The sequence below is a fragment of the Homo sapiens genome, chromosome 4, assembly GCF_000001405.40.
Source record: "Homo sapiens chromosome 4, GRCh38.p14 Primary Assembly".
NCBI classification, from domain to species: Eukaryota; Metazoa; Chordata; class Mammalia; order Primates; family Hominidae; genus Homo; species Homo sapiens.
The window spans coordinates 80431324-80448188 of record NC_000004.12 but is presented as its reverse complement, the minus strand read 5'-3'; the positions used below and the strand labels follow the sequence as shown (position 1 = coordinate 80448188).

Genomic DNA, 16865 nt, shown 5'->3' with positions numbered 1-16865 from the left:
GGTGAATAAAGAGGTTGCCCAGAAGAAAACTCACTTTATTTGACTGGGGAGAAATAAAGTCTGCAATATTGCCACGAAGTGGGGTAATCTGAGCAGAGAGAATGCATTGACAGTGTACAACATACAGATCTGTTCTACAGATTGCTGACTGCTGGTGCCTAAAACATGGTGGTGGGAGTGCCAATGAGTGAGGCTGCACAGATCCACAAATGCTAGATCATATAAAGCCTTGTGTGCCATGCTAAGGAGCTTGAATTTATCTCAAAAAGCCAGTGGTATAATTGCATTAGAGAAATGTCTTGGTACAATTTGCACTATTAAAAGATTAAACTGGCCAGAGTATAGAAAACTGACTAGAAAAGCGGGGATGGGGATGGGGTGGGAGGATTATGTCAAAATTTAAAGCAAGAAGACTGTTAGTAAAACTGCAATTGTTGGCCGGGCATGGTGGCTCACACCCGTAATCTTAGCACTTTGGGAGGCCGAGGCAGGCAGATCACCTGAGGTCAGGAGTTTCAGACCAGCCTGGCCAAAATGGTGAAACCCCATCTCTACTAAACATAAAAATTAGCAGGGCATGGTGGCGCATACCTGTAGTCCCAGCTACATGGGACTGAGGCAGGGGAACCGCTACAAGCTGAGGCAGGAGAACCGCTTGAATCCAGGAGGCGGAGGTTGCAGTGAGCTGAGATCACGCCACTGCACTCCATCCTGGGTGACAGAGCAAGACTCTGTCTTAAAAAACAAACAAATAGGCCGGGCGCGGTGGCTCACGCCTGTAATCCCAGCACTTTGGGAGGCCGAGGCGGGCGGATCACGAGGTCAGGAGATCGAGACCATCCCGGCTAAAACGGTGAAACCCCGTCTCTACTAAAAATACAAAAAATTAGCCGGGCGTAGTGGCGGGCGCCTGTAGTCCCAGCTACTTGGGAGGCTGAGGCAGGAGAATGGCGTGAACCCGGGAGGCGGAGCTTGCAGTGAGCCGAGATCCCGCCACTGCACTCCAGCCTGGGTGACAGAGCGAGACTCCGTCTCAAAAAAAAAAAAAAAAAAAAAAACAAAAAAAAAACAAATAAAAAGCAAAAACAAAAACAAAGAAACACTACCATTGTTAATCACATAAGAGAGGGTAAGTGCCTACTTATAAAAGCAGTAGGTAAAAAATATTACAAGTAGAATCAACAGACCTTGGTGAATAGTTTTGTTGATTGAGATTATGTAAAAAAAAATTCCTGAACCATGATGCTTACTTAATCTTTTACTGAATTGCAAAACCCTTTGCAAATCTGAAAAGCCACGATCCATAAAAATGCACACATAAAATCCACATTTTGATGAGTTGACTGATCTCCTGAGAAACTATTATTAAATTTCTGGGTTAAGAGTCATTGATAGAAGTTTTCTTTCAAATTTCTATCTTGAGTGACTAAATAGACTGTAATGCTACCAGGTGAGAAATGTAATAGAGTTGGTGGCAGAAATTTGGGAAGGAGAAAATCAGTTCAGTCTTACAATGTGATGTTTGAGGTCCCTAATGCAGAAAGTAATGGATAGAAGACAGCTGTATTTCTGGATCTAGAACTCAAAAGAAGGATCTAAGCTGGAAAAAAAATGGCTCAAAGGCCCAAATAGTATAATAAATGACAGTGAAAAGGATAAGATTACTTAAGTAGAGGATAGAATTATGGAAGCTGTCAATTAGATGTGGTGGATGCTGTCATGTGCCAAACAGATCTTGCTTACAGAAATGGAAGACTTATTTCAACATTTCTGAGATTGCTGTTGGCAGATAGTCCTCAACTGTCAGCCTCTTGGGAATTTCCTCTGGTTGAAGAGCATTGTCTTGTACAAGTCCTTGCCCCCTTCCTGCATTGAATGGCTATATCCAATGACTGCTTGATGCAGGAATAAAAAGTGCTGCCACTTTCCCCTGACCCTCCCCTATACATCCTCTACACACACAAATATGGACAACTGCAGAGTTCCACAGGTGGTTGGCTGAGGCCTTCACTGATTGACACAACACCTATGCCTTTTCCTCTTCCCAGTCCTGAATCCTTCCTCTCTCTTCTTCCTCATTGCTCTCAAATGAAGCATTCCCTAATACATGTCAAGCATGCTAATCTCCATCTCAAAATCTTCCTCCTGGCCACTCCAGCACGCAGCATAAATATCAAAGGGAGAGACACCATTTCAAACTTTCAGGCGGAGTGAAAGAATAAAAGACCTGAAAGTTTTTAAAGAGGCCAATTCAACACCACATACACACATCTTTAGCATACAATGCCAACTCAGTTATTTATTACTGTAATAAACCATATTAACTATGTCAAAGAAAATCATACGATCTCAATAGATGCCAACAAATTATGTATAACAAAATTCATCTTCTATTCTTGAATTTTTAAACTTTTAGTAGCACAGAAGTACATATTTGCTTAATCTGATAAAAATATATGACTCAAAACAAATAAGCAAACTATGCTTAATGATGATACTTTAAATGTTTTTTTTTTAATATACTTTAAGTTCTGGGATACATGTGCAGAATGTGCAAGTTTCTTACATAGGTATACATGTGCCATGGTGGTTTGCTCCACGCATCAACCCGTCATCTACATTAGGTATTTTTCTTAACACTATCCCTCCCCTTTCCCCCAACCCCTGACAGGCCTCGGTGTATGACATTCCCCTCCCTGTGTCCATGTGTTCTCACTGTTCAACTCCCACTTATAAGTGAGAATATGTGGTGTTCAGTTTTCTGTTACTGTGTTAGTTTGCTGAGAATGATAGTTTCCAGCTTCATCCATGTCCCTGCAAAGGACATGAACTCATTCTTTTTTATGGCTGCATAGTATTCCATTGTGTATATGTGCCACATTTTCTTTATTCACTCTATCATTGTTGGGCATCTGGGTTGGTTCCAAGTCTATGCTATTGTAAACAGCGCTGCAATAAACATATGTGTGCATGTGTCTTTATAATAGAATGATTTATAATCCTTTGGGTATACACCCAGTAATGGGATTGCTGGGTCAAATGGTATTTCTGGTTCTAGACCCTTGAGGAATCGCCACACTGTCTTCAACAATGGTTGAACTAATTTACACTCCCACCAACAATATAAAAGTGTTCCTATTTCTCCACATCCTCTCCAACATCTATTGTTTCCTGACTTTTTAATGGATCGCCATTCTAACTGGCATGAGATGGTATCTCATTGTGGTTTCGATTTGCATGTCTCTAATGACCAATGATGATGAGCTTTTTTTCATGTTTGTTGGCAGCAAAAATGTCTTCTTTTGAGAAGCGTCTGTTTATATCCTTCACCCACTTGTTGATGGGGTTGTTTTTTTCTTGTAAATTTGTTTAAGTTCCTTGTAGATTCTGGATATTAACCCTTTGTCAGATGAGTAGATTGCAAAAATTTTCTCCCATCTGTAGGTTGCCTATTCACTCTGATGATAGTTTCTTTTGCTGTGCAGAAGCTCTTTAGTTTAATTAGATCCCATTTGTCAATTTTGGCTTTTGTTGCAATTACTTTTGGTGTTTTAGTCATGAAGTCTTTGCCCATGCCTAAGTCCTGAATAGTATTGCCTAGGTTTTCTTGTAGGGTTTTTATGGTTTTAGGTGTTATGTTTAAGTCTTTAATCCATCTTATATTAATTTTTGTATAATGTGTAAGATAGGGGTTCAGTTTCAGTTTTCTGCATATGGCTAGCCTGTTTTTCCAACATGATTTATTAAATAGGGAATCCTTTCCCCATTGCTTGTTTTTGTCAGGTTTGTCAAAGATCAGATGGTTGTAGATGTGTGGTGTTATTTCTGAGGCTTCTGTTCTGTTCCATTGGCCTATATATCTGTTTTGGTACCAGTACCATGCTGTCTTAGTTACTGTAGCCTTGTAGTATAGTTTGAAGTCAGGTAGCATGATGCCTCCAGCTTTGTTCTTTTTGCTTAGCATTGTCTTGGCTATACAGGTTCTTTTTTGGTTTCATATCAAATTTAAAGTAGTTTTTCTAATTCTCTAAAGAAACTCAATGGTAGTTTGACAGAAATAGCATTGAATCTATAAACTACTGTGGGCAGTGTGGCCATTTTCACAATATTGATTTTTCCTATCCATGAGCATGGAATGTTTTCCCATTTCTTTGTGTCCTCTCTTGTTTCCTTGAGCAGTGGTTTGTCGTTCTCCTTGAAGAGGTCCTTCACTTCTCTTGTAAGTTGGATTCCTAGGTATTTTATTCTCTTTGTAGCAATTATGAATGGCAGTTCACTCATGATTTGGCTCTGTTTGTCTATTACTGGTGTGTAGTAATGCTTGTGATTTTTGCACATTGACTTTCTATCCTGAGACTTTGCTGCAGTTGTTTATCAGCTTAAAGAAATTTTGGGCTGAGATGATGGGGCTGTCTAAATATACAATCATGTCATCTGCAAACAGAGACAATTTGACTTCCTCTCTTCCTATTTGAATACCCTTTATTTCTTTCTCTTGCCTGACTGCCCTGGCCAGGACTTCCAATACTGTGTTGAATAGGAGTGGTGAGAGAGGGCATCCTTGTCTTGTGCCGGTTTTCAAAGGAAATGTTTCCCGCTTTTGCCCATTCAGTATGATATTGGCTGTGGGTTTGTCATAAATAGCTCTTATTATTTAGAGATATGTTCCATCAACACCTAGCTTATTGAGTGCTTTTAGCATGAAGGGGTTTTGAATTTTATCGAAGGCCTTTTCTGCAACTATTGAGATAATCATGTGGTTTTTGTCATTGGTTCTGTTTATGTGATGGATTACGTTTATTGACTTGTGCATGTTGAACCAGCCTTGCATCCCAGGGATGAAGGTGACTTGATCATGGTGGATAAGCTTTTTGATGTGCTGCTGGATTCGGTTTCCCAGTATTTTGTTGAAGATTTTTGCATTGATGCTCAAGGGACACTGGCCTGAAATTTTTGTTGTTGTTGTCTCTGCCAGGTTTTAGTATCAGGATGACGCTGGCCCATAAAATGAGTTAGGTAGGAGTCCCTCTCTTTCTATTGTTTGGAATAGTTTCAGAAGGAATGGTACCAGCTCCTCTTTGTACCCCTGGGAGAATTCGGCTGTGAATCCGTCTGATCCTGGGCTCTTTTTGTTTGGTAGGCTATTAACTACTGTCTCAATTTCAGAACTTGTTATTAGTCTATTCAGGGATTCGACTTCTCCTGGTTTAGTCTTGGGAGTGTGTATGTGTCCAGGAATTTATCCATTTCTTCTAGATTTTCTAGTTTACTTGTTTAGAGGTGTTTATAGTATTCTCCAATGGTAGTTTGTGTTTCTGTGGATCAGTGGTGATCTCCCCTTTATCTTTTTTATTGTGTCTATTTGATTCTTCTCTCTTTATTTCTTTGTTTGTCCGGCTACTAGTCTATCTATTTTGTTAATCTTTTCAAAAAACCAGCTCCTGGATTCATTGATTTTTTGAAGGGTTTTTCGAGTCTCTATCTCCTTCAGTTCTGCTCTGATCTTAGTTATTTCTTGTCTTCTGCTAGTCTTTGAATTTGCTCTTGTTTCTCTAGTTGACTTTTAATTGTGATGTTACGGTGTCAATTTTCTCATGTGGGCATTTAGTACTATAAATTTCCCTCTAAACACTGCTTTAGCTGTGTCCCAGAGATTCTGGTATGTTGTGTCTTTTTTCTCATTTGTTTCAAAGAACTTATTTATTTCTGCCTTAATTTCGTTATTTACCCAGTAGTCATTCAGGAGTAGGTTGTTCAGTTTCCATGTAGTTCTGCGGTTTTGAGTGAGTTTCTTAATCCTGAGTTCTAATTTAATTGCACTGTGGTCTGAGAGACTGTTTGTCATGATTTCCATTCTTTTGCATTTGCTGAGGAGTGTTTTACTTCTAATTATGTGGTCAATTTTAGAATAAGTGCTATGTGGTGCTAAGAATGTATATTCTGTTGATTTGGGGTGGATAATTTTGTAGACATCTATTAGGTCTGCTTGGTCCAGAGCTCAGTTCAAGTCCTGAATATCCTTGTTAATTTTCTGTCTTGTAAATATCTGTCTAATATTGACAGTGGGGTGGTAAAGTCTCCCACTATTATTGTGTGGGAGTCTAAGTCTCTTTGTTGGTCTCTAAGAACTCACTTTATGAATCTGTGTGCTCCTATATTGGGTGCATATATATTTAGGATAGTTAGCTATTCTTGTTGCATTGATCCCTTTACCATTATGTAATGCCCTTCTTTGTCTCTGATGATCTTTGTTGGTCTAAAGGCTGTTTTATCAGACAGTAGGATTGCAACTCCTGCATTTTTTTGTTTTCCATTTGCTTGGTAAATATTCCTCCATCCCTTTATTTTAAGCCTATGTGTGTTTTTGCACATGAGTAGGTTCTCCTGAATACAAGCACACTGATGGGTCTTGACTCTTTATCCAACTTGCCAGTCTGTGTCTTTTAATTGGGGCATTTAGCCCATTTACATTTAAGGTTAATATTATTATGTGTGAATTTAACCCTGTCATTATGATGCTAGCTGGTGATTTTGCACATTAGTTGATGCAGTTTCTTTATAGTGTTGATGGTCTTTACATTTTGGTATGTTGTTGCAGTGGCTGGTAATGGTTTTTCCTTTCCATATTTAGTGCAGCCTTCAGGAGCTCTTGTAAGGCAGGCCTGGTGATGACAAAATCTCTCAGCATTTGTTTGTCTGTAAAGGATTTTATTTCCCCTTCAATTATGAAGCTTAGTTTGGCTGGATATGCAATTCTGGGTTGAAAACTCTTTTCTTTAAGAATGTTGAATGTTGGCCCCCACTCTCTTCTGGCTTGCAGGGTTTCTGCAGAGAGATCCGCTGTTACTCCAATGGACTTCTTGTTGTGGGTAACCTGACCTTCCTCTCTGGCTGCCCTTAACATTTTTTCCTTCATTTCAACCTTGGAGAATCTAACAATTGTGTGTCTTGGGGTTGGTCTTCTCAAGGAGTATCTTAGTGGTGTTCTCTGTATTTCCTAAATTTGAATGTTGCCCTGTCTTGCTAGGTTGGGGAAGTTATCCTGGATAATATCCTGAAGTGTTTTCCAACTGGGTTCCATTCTCCCTGTCACTTTCAGGTATATCAATCAAACATTGGTTTGGTCTTTTCACACAGTCCCATATTTCATGGAGGCTTTGTTCATCCCTTTTCATTCTTTTTTCTCTCATCTTGTCTTCACACTTTATTTTCATTTGATCTTCCATCTCTGATATCTTTACTTCCACTTGATTGATTCGGCTATTGATACTTGAGGATGCTTCATGAAGTTCTCATGCTGTGTTTTTCAGCTCCATCAGGTTATTTATGTTCTTCTCTAAATTGGTTATTCTAGTTAGCCATTCCTGTAACCCTTTATCAAGGTTCTTAGCTTCCTTGCACTGGGTTAGAATATGCTCCTTTAGCTTGGAGGAGTTTGTTATTACCCACCTTCTGAAGACTACTTCTGTCTATTCATCAAATTCATTCTTTGTCCAGTTTTGTTCCCTTGCTGGCAAGGAGTTGTGATTCTTTAGAGGAGAAGAGGCATTCTGGTTTTTGGAATTTTCAGCATTTTTGCACTGTTTTTTCCTCATCTTTGTTTTTTTTAAATCTTCTGTTGATCTTTGATGCTGATGACCTTCAGATGGGGTTTTTGCGTGGGCATCCTTTTTGTTGATGTTGATGTTATTGATTTCTGTTTGTTAGCTTTCCTTCTATCAGTCAGGCCCCTCTGCTGCAGGTGTGCTGGAGTTTGCTGAAGGTCCACCCCAGACCCTGTTTGCCTGAGTAACACCAGAGGAGGCTACAGAGCAGCAAAGATTGCTGCTTGCTCCTTCCTCTGGAAGCATCGTCCCAGAGGGGCACCCGCCAGATGCCAGCCGGAGCTCTCCTGTATGAGGTGTCTGTCGAGCCCTGCTGGGAGGTGTCTCCCTGTCAGGAGGCATGGGGGTCAGGGACCCACCTGAGGAGGCAGTCTGTCCCTTAGCAGAGCTCAAGCATTGTGCTGAGAGATCCGCTGCTCTTTTCAGAGCTGGCAGGCAGGAACGTTTAAGTCTGCTGAAGCTGTGCCCACAGCCTCCCCTTCTCCCAGGTGCTCTGTCCCAGGGAGATGGGAGTTTTATCTATAAGCCCCTGATGGGGGCTGCTGCCTTTCTTTCAGAGATGCCCTGCCCAGAGAGGAGGAATCTACAGAGACAGCTTAACTACAGCGGCTTTGCAGAGCTGTTGGGGGTTCCGCCCAGTTCGAACTTCCTGGCAGCTTTGTTTACACTGTGAGAAGAAAACCACTTACTCAAGCCTCAGTAATGGTTGATGCCCTTCCCCCCACCAAGCTCGAGTGTCGCAGGTCGACTTCAGACTGCTGTGATGGCAGCAAGAATTTCCCGCCAGTGGATCTTAGCTTGCTGGGCAGCTGGGCTCTGTGGAAGTGGGACCTGCTGAACAAGACCACTTGGCTCCCTGGCTTCAGCCCCCTTTCCAGGGGAATGAATGGTTCTGTCTCACTGGCATTCCAGGCACCACTGGGGTACGAAAAAACTCCTGCAGCTAGCTTGGTGTCTGCCCAAACAGCCACCTAGTTTTGTGCTTGAAACCCAGGGCCCTGGTATTGTAGGCACCCGAGGGAATCTCCTGCTCTGCAGGCTGGGAAAACTGGGGAAAAGCATAGTATCTGGGCCGTATAGCACCATCCCTCATGTCATAGTCCCTCAGCTTCCCTTGACAAGGGGAGGGAGTTCCCCGAGCCCTTGAGCTTCCCGGGTGAGGTGACGCCCTACCCTGCTTCTGCAAGCCCTCTGTGGGCTGCACCCACTGTCTAACCAGTCCCAATGAGATGAGCTTGGTACCTCAGTTGGAAATGCAGAAATCACCTGCCTTCTGCGTTGGTCTCCCTGGGAGCTGCAGACTGGAGCTGTTCCTATTTGGCCATCTTGCCCTGAAACCCTAATTGCTTTTTTAGAGTAAGCAACAAACTAAAGATTCCCTCAATCATGACTATAACTTAATATTGTTCTCAATTTAGTAATCAAAACAAAATTAGATAATAGAAATAAGTGATAAATATAGGAAGGGAGAAGACAAATTTAAAATAATTGCAAACAGTATAGTGTCTTCGCTAGACAACATGAAAAATTGGACTGGAAAACTACACTATATACTAGTAAATCACAAAATTTATATACAAAAATAGATAGCTTTTTAGAACACTGTTGAATTATTTTTAAAAAATGATTCTATTTGAAATAACCATTGCAAAAAAGACCTACATATAAATCCAATAATCAAAAAGACATACTATTGTGCTGTAAATATCGACTGAGGAGCATAAAATATTTAAGGAAATGAGTAGACAAATCACTTTCTTGTATGGAATGACTTAATACATTTACCAATTCTATTTCTCTCTCTTACTAGTACAATACAAGTTAAAATACCTAGAAGAGCTTCAAATTGTACATAAGGATTGTAAATTACAATTGAGAAAAAAGGAGAAAAGCCTGGACATTTCTAAGAATAAAAGTTGTAATAATTAAATCAGCTTGTTAAATGGATTTTAAAAACAGACAGATGAATAGAACAGGAGAGAGTCAAAATGAAACCAAGTTCAGATGAGAATTTATTTTATGGCAAAGGTAACGTTCAAATTAGTGGAGAAAGAAAAAGTTACTCAAATTGTCTCAGAAAAATCAGACAACCTTAATCCTCACAAATAGATGAAATATGTAAGCACATACATGTTGGTAGAAGAAAAATAAATTTATATTGTAAGAGTTGGGATGACATTTGGAAGCTGGACATGAAACAGATAAGCAAGAGTAGCCTCCCTGCCATTCCTCAGACACATTAGGCCCCCTGGAAACTCAAGGCCTTTGCATTTACTGAAGGCTTTTCCTAGACTTCTTTCATCAAACCTGCACCAAACAGCCTCATGACTTACTCACTTCCTTCACGTTTTTATTCAAATGTTATCTTAGTGAGGTCTGTGGTCTCAAATTGCAACCCACACTAATCTCACCCCTCTATTCTGTTTCCTTGCATTAATTTTTCTACTTTAGCACTTGCCACCATCTAACATATTCCATATTATTGTACTTATTTATCTTGTTTATCATCTAACTTCCCCAATGACACAGCAAGCTTCATAAAAGCAAAGATGCTTTTTCTGTTTTGTTCACTTCTCAATGCTTACAAGACTGCCTAAGACATACTAAATGCTCAAAATATATTTTATGAGTAAGAAAAGAATAAAAGGTCAAAGAAATAAGAAAGAAACCTAAAGAAAATGGTGTAAATGAAGCCAAAAAAAGGACAACAACAATAGTGCTATAAGCTGTAGAGAAGCCTAGTTAGACAAGTAGACAAAAGTGCCCATTAAAATAAAAATTACAATATTACTAATCGCTTTGGCAGGACCAGTTTGGGAAGCAATTCTCCATGGGTCTCTTGCATTTCTACACAGGATAGTAGCAGAGATACTGTCTTTTGTTCCAGACTATCTTTTCAAGGATGTCTGTATAGTGACCAGCCTTGGAAGATGTATCTTATAACTCTGGTAGATGGAGATAGTGTCTCCCCTCTGGAGCAAAGGACAGGCATGTTTACTGCCCTTTATTAAAATTTTGGGCTTTCCATCTCTCAGGATCCCTCTTCTGCAACGTGACTCAGTAAGTGTACAGGGTATCAGCTCGCCTCCATCGTGTTCCCTTATGGAAACTGGGGCTCAGAGAATAGGCGCAAAAGCTGTTGAGACTCTGGCTGCTGCTATTTCTGTGAATAATAAATTGACCTTCATCTCTAACTCAGGAGTCTTGGTCTCCTGCCGCATTCATTACACTATTGCAGGCTAGCTTATTAGTAGTGGGCAAGTAGGTAAAATCTCAGACTTTTTCCAGTTCTAGAGAGATAAATGGCAAAAATTAGGACTTTGTATGTATACATCAGCACTAGCAATGATATAGTAATTCAGTTCCACTCAATACAATATCAAATAACACCTTAGAAACATTGCCTCAAATTCCCTTTCACCTAGATGATATTTAGTTGTATAATATTTATGTAGGATAATTCACTGTAGTCATTTATCTGGTTATTATCTAACTCTTAGCCACAAGCAATATCGATACCCTGGCTAGCCCTATGTCCCAGCAGAAAAATGAGGGATACATGCAGCAGAACTTACCAGACTACATGAATACAAAACAGCTGTTAAAGCAATTCCTTCAAATCATGAGTAAAAAATAAATGCTTATTTTTTATGCCACTTTGATTTTAATATTATTGTTATTAAACAGAAGCAATAGCTGACTGTTACGAGACCCAAAATATCAACACCTTCAATGTGATCAAAGTTCATTTCTCCCTTATGTCACATGCTAGAGGGAGGCAATGCAGGGGACAAAAGACAGCTCTGCTGCACAAAATTACCCAAGGACAAAAGGTCGTATTATATTTTTCTCTATTTTCCCCCCAAAATCATCTTTATCTCTTGTTCCAAGATAGCTTAATACCTTACCTATGTTTCAAAAAATTTAGTATGGAGAAAGGGAGGCAGAAAGGCAATACACTTTACTTTTAAATCCCACATTTTGGCCAGGCACGGTGGCTCACACCTGTAATCCCAGCACTTTGGGAGGCCAAGGCGGGTGGATCATGAGGTCAGGAGATTGAGACCATCCTGGCTAACACGGTGAAACCCCGTCTCTACTAAAACATACAAAACAAAATTAGCCGGGCATGGTGATGGGTGCCGGTAGTCCCAGCTACTCGGGATGCTGAGGCAGGAGAATGGCGTGAACCTGTGAGGCGGAGCTTACAGTGAGCTGAGATCGCGCCACTGCACTCCAGCCTGGGCAACAGAGTGAGACTCCGTCTCAAAAAAAAAAAAAAAAAAAGATATCCCACATTTTGTACCCATCAAGTTTCCTCACAGCCCATTTATCAGATATAAGTCACATGGCCACACCTTGCTTTAAGGGAAGTAAGACAACTTACCATATTTTTGGAAATCCTAACTAAAAATCAGGTGCTACATCACTGTGAAAGCAGGAGAGAATGGAAATTTGCATGCAGTTAACATTCTTTGCCACAGTCTGTCCACGTTGCAACCCAAGTATCTATGCAGTCTCTCTTACTTACATGGAGCATATTTGTCACCTCCACAGAGAGGAAACTTCCAAATCTCATCAATTACTGCACCCAGCTGAAAGTCCCTCTCATCTGGTGATGTGTAGCTCTTTACATTAAAGATAGATATGGGGCCTCATGGTTTGACAACCTATAAACTAAAATAAAAGTTTATATTTCCCCAGCACACACAATACTCAAGGCTTGTAAAGAAATTGGATATGGCCATCTAAACTGCCCCTCATGAGCAAAAAGGGGAATTGATAGACACATGGTAGTCCCTGGACTGTGACATTAATCACATCCCACTAGGTAGGAATTACAAATATTCCCTGATCAACCATGGAGTAAGTCCCTTGGTAAGGCCCATCTGGAAGTCTCTAATTCAAAGCCCTTTGCTCAACCCTCTGCAAGGTGCTTTTCTATCTTGTGTCCTCCCTTGCCATGAATCAAGTAGACATTACTGAAATCATTCTTCTTGGGAGATTGCAATGTTTTTGTAGCCTGCTTCTTGCTGGTCCAAGTTTGGCAGCCCAGAGATTTCCTTAGGGGTTGAACAATTACAGGCTTTTTCAGGCCATGTTGTTGTTCTTTATCCATACAATTCCCTCAAAAACTTAGTAAGCTTGTAGGCAATTTGTTTTGGATTAGTTCCATATATTAAGTAACTATAGCCAAAGATCTAATTTGAACGTAGTGTTCAAACCTAAAGATGCTTGCCTTTCCTTATTACCCTGTGTGCTTGCTCACCCCCTCTCTGGATGGAAGATACATTCAGGCTATCTGAGCCATTTTGTTTGGGTGGGAAAGCAATACCCTTAATTTTATTTTGCCTCTGGTCTGGCTCCCAAATCTGGCAGGGCATTGAGCTTATCTCCTACTAAGGCAGTGGCTTTGAAGCCACCAATTATAATTCCTTTGGTTTGAAGTACAGGAAAAGTTGCCTTTTTCAACCCTTAAAGTCCTCAAATTATAGTACTCTCTGTGAAATTATGTTGCTAACCCAGCAAAAAACCTTTCTTAACAGAACTGTATTCCTTTCCACCTCCACTTGCATACTAGCTAACTCTAGACTACCTTCATCTCTTTAAAAAGATTTCACTAAAAGAGCAAAAGCAGTCAACACTTTGAGATTCTGCTGCTTTCCTGTGATTTTCCCTAATGTTTGGTCTCAGCTTGTGGAGTGCCTTCTAAGATATAACAACCGACAATTATACCAGTGCTTTGCCTCAGCATCCTTAAGGATCAATCAGCTTTTCTGACTCCAATATCTGTGTCTCCTCCTCCCGCCTACCAAATGCTAAATATAATACATCACATATCTAGGTTATACCTCTTTATGCACCCAAATTGTGGCATCAAATTCTGTCTTAGGATGTAGGTTTGGCAGAGACTCAATCACAGTTCATAAAGAAAACAGAGGTTTAGTGCTTGTTCATTATATTCTGAAAATGGTAGTCCAGGGCTCTTACAGGCGATGCAGGCTTTTTATATATCACATAACTTTGTCATCTCTAAGGTATTGCTCTTATCTACATGGTGGAATATGACTCATCAGCACTTTTAAACACCACTGTTAAAAGTATTTAAAATACACTTTTTAAAGCAGCAGGATGAGGAAAGGGCAGCAAAGATGTAACATTTCCTCTTTTTGAAGATATGTCTGGAAGCTGCACAAATCACCTCCAAAGGAGCTTGGGAAATGTAGTCCTTACTCCATAGCAACAGGTCCTGCTACAAAACAAGAGTCCTTTCATTAAGGGAGAAGGGAAGAATGGATATCAGACAGCAAAAAGTATTTTTTCTACAATTTTAAGAAAGAGACTTGCTTATTTTAATCTAATATGTTGGGGTATTGTGAACCAATATTTGTAACAACAATAAGAATTAAGTTGACTAGAGCATTATTTTAACAACACCTGCTGCTCTAATGATGTTTATAGAATATTTTTAACATCTAAAATACAAATTTTAATATAAATAAATGTAAATTTACAGCTTATCTTTTGTATTAATGCCTGATACATAACAGGCATTTGGTAAATAGTTGTTGAATGAAATAAAGAATGAACTGACCAATTAAAAAGTTGTATTGAGCACTTGCTATGACACTATAAATGTGTTACACATTGAAGAGACTTTTTAAGTATGACACATGATCTCAAACAGAAGAGGTTGACAGCATTTTTACCTGATGATACTGGTTACAAAATTCCCAGTGAGTGTAGAGAAAATAAACTTTTCCAAATTAAACTGTTGTCTTAATGTAATATTATAACTTCAAATAATTTTTAATTGGGTATCCTCTTTTTAACGTGCTTGAAAGAAAAAGTTACTCTGAGAGCAAATAAATTAATTACTACTTATTTATAAAATGTTACATTGTACAAAGTTGGTAGCCAAATACTCCATACTTAAGATTTTAGCAAAAAAAATTACATGTGACCTATAATTATTTGCTTAAAATTTGATTTTTTAAGTAATTTAAATCAGTGACAACCAAGTGAACTATTTATTTACAATCATTAAAGCCATCTGTGCTTTTATTTGAAGAATAAAATATTCAATTATAGTTTTGAGAAACTGAGAAAAGCAGAACTCGAAGTGTTCGTTTTTTTAAGGTAAAGTATTCTTTCTATTTTCCCACAAATGTTTCTCTTTCTTATTTTTTCATTCTTAGGAGCAGAATTAAGCTATCACCACAGATCATGTTCAGGAATACACAGCTGTACATATTGAGATATTTAGAAGGTGGTTTATGAATTAAGAGAAATGTATCATCTATACACATAAAATGCTTGTTTTAATTACTCAAGTACAGGGTACCTCCATGGTTTCCAGAATATAACACCTTGGGATAAATAATGTAACTTCAGCCTTTTATGAATCTTTTTTTTTCCTCTGTGGTTTTTCATAGGTAGGAACTAACAGATGAACAGGATAAATTAAGGACAATGAGTTCAGAAAAATAACTTTTCAATATCTGCCATGCCACATCAAGAACAGGTATCTTTTAAAGTCTTCTTGATGAGAGTAAATCTTTGTTCTCTGAGAATGAACAAAGTCAATCAGTGCTCTATCAGGAATATAAGATGAGTAAAGAAGGTGAGAGGTATTTTTAATTAAAAATAAACATTGATGAAAATATTCTGGGAAAGATGGGAAGCTAAGAATACTTATTCCCCTCCCTCCAACTCTAGATTTTTATTACCTTGCACAGAAAGTATATAAAAAATAGAGTGTAGGCCGGGCACGGTGGCTCACACCTGTAATCCCAGCACTTTGGGAGGCCGAGGTGGGTGGATTAGAAGATCGAGACCATCCTGGCTAACACAGAAACCCCATCTCTACTAAAAATACAAAAAATTAGCCAGGCGTGGTGGTGGGCGCCTGTAGTCCCAGCTACTCTGGAGGCTGAGGCAGGGGAATGGTGTTAACCTGGGAGGCGGAGCTTGCAGTGAGCTGAGGTTGAGTCACTGCACTCCAGCCTGGGCGACAGAGTGAGACTCCGTCTCAAAAAAAAAAAAAAAAATAGAGTGTAAATTGCATGTGAACTGAAAAACTTGTGCTAAAAAGACTGTCTTTTAGAAATAGCATAAATAAAACAAATGAAAGGGCCGGGCATGGTTGCTCACGCCTGTAATCCTAGCACTTTGGGAGGCCAAGACAGGTGGATCACAAGATCAGGAGTTCGAGACCAGCCTGATCAACATGGTGAAACCCCGTCTCTACTAAAAAATACAAAAATTAGCCAGCCATGGTGGCGCGTGCCTGTAATCCCAGCTACTCAGGAGGCTGAGGCAGGAGAATCACTTGAACCCTGGAGGGGGAGGTTGCAGTGAGCTGAGATGGCACCATTGCACTCCAGCCTGGGCGACACAGCAAGACTCCATTTCAAAAAAAACAAAAAATGAAATAACTAAGTGTTGACTCCTAATATTTTGCAATCATAAAATAGTTTCCATTTTGATTTTCTTTTAGATTTTCCTATCTATAAGTGAGATTATTACATTAACTTATTCAAAAAATACTTACTGTGTTATTTTTGTGAACCAAGTGGGCCTTGTTATTCAGAAAATGTCCCTATCCTTATAGAGCTGACAATGAATTGGCATAGAGAACAACAAACTCTTCTGTGAAAGTAGCACAGTATCACAGGAAGTAGAGGAAAGCCATCCAGGACCATGTTGGCATGCTGCAGCCCCAACACTCACTATTAGAACAAGCCACTCCCAAAACAGAATAATTTTTATAGCCACATATCAATGGCATTCAATGGCTACTGAGCTGCCAGCTGCAGAGTTTGAACAATAGGGTTAATGAGCAGTGACCCCGAAGGTGAAGAGGCTTCTCTGTGATGTCCTAGTTTGACAATGCCTCAGGAAGACTAGACACAGCTTTTCCCTATAACCAAGCGGCTGCCAATCCAAACAGAGGGCTAGATATAGAAAATTGGCCTTAACTCAGTGGCTTCTCCAAGTTTCTTAAGAAAAATAAAAGGAGAAGAAGGAGAAGGGGAAGGGAAAGAAGAGAAGGACGAGGGAGAAGAGAAGAAACAGGAGGAGGAGGAGGAGGAAACGGAAAGAAGGGAAGGAGTGAGGGAGGCAAAAAGGGAGGCAAAGAAAGGAAGGGAGGAAGGGAAAAAAGGAGGGAGGAAGGAAGAAAGGAAGAGAGGGAGGAAGAAGGGAAGGAAGGGGGGAGAGATGGAGGGAAAAAAGGAAGGAAAGAAGGAAGGAAAAGAA

The 16865-nt window shown here is 39.8% G+C and overlaps 1 protein-coding gene across 6 annotated transcripts in view, besides 1 other annotated feature; it reads right to left on the bottom strand.

Annotated features, from left to right (window-relative positions):
- The window catches only part of CFAP299 (cilia and flagella associated protein 299), a 642486-nt gene that overhangs the window by 515562 nt on the left and 110059 nt on the right, over positions 1–16865 (bottom strand). The window lies entirely within an intron of this gene.
- Positions 7433–8215: an enhancer, noted in NCBI's record as "H3K27ac-H3K4me1 hESC enhancer chr4:81361128-81361910 (GRCh37/hg19 assembly coordinates)". NCBI's record gives its function as "activates a minimal SCP1, AML or CMV promoter by ChIP-STARR-seq in primed H9 embryonic stem cells {active_cell/tissue: H9 hESC(primed)}" and the evidence as "EXISTENCE:reporter gene assay evidence [ECO:0000049][PMID:30033119]".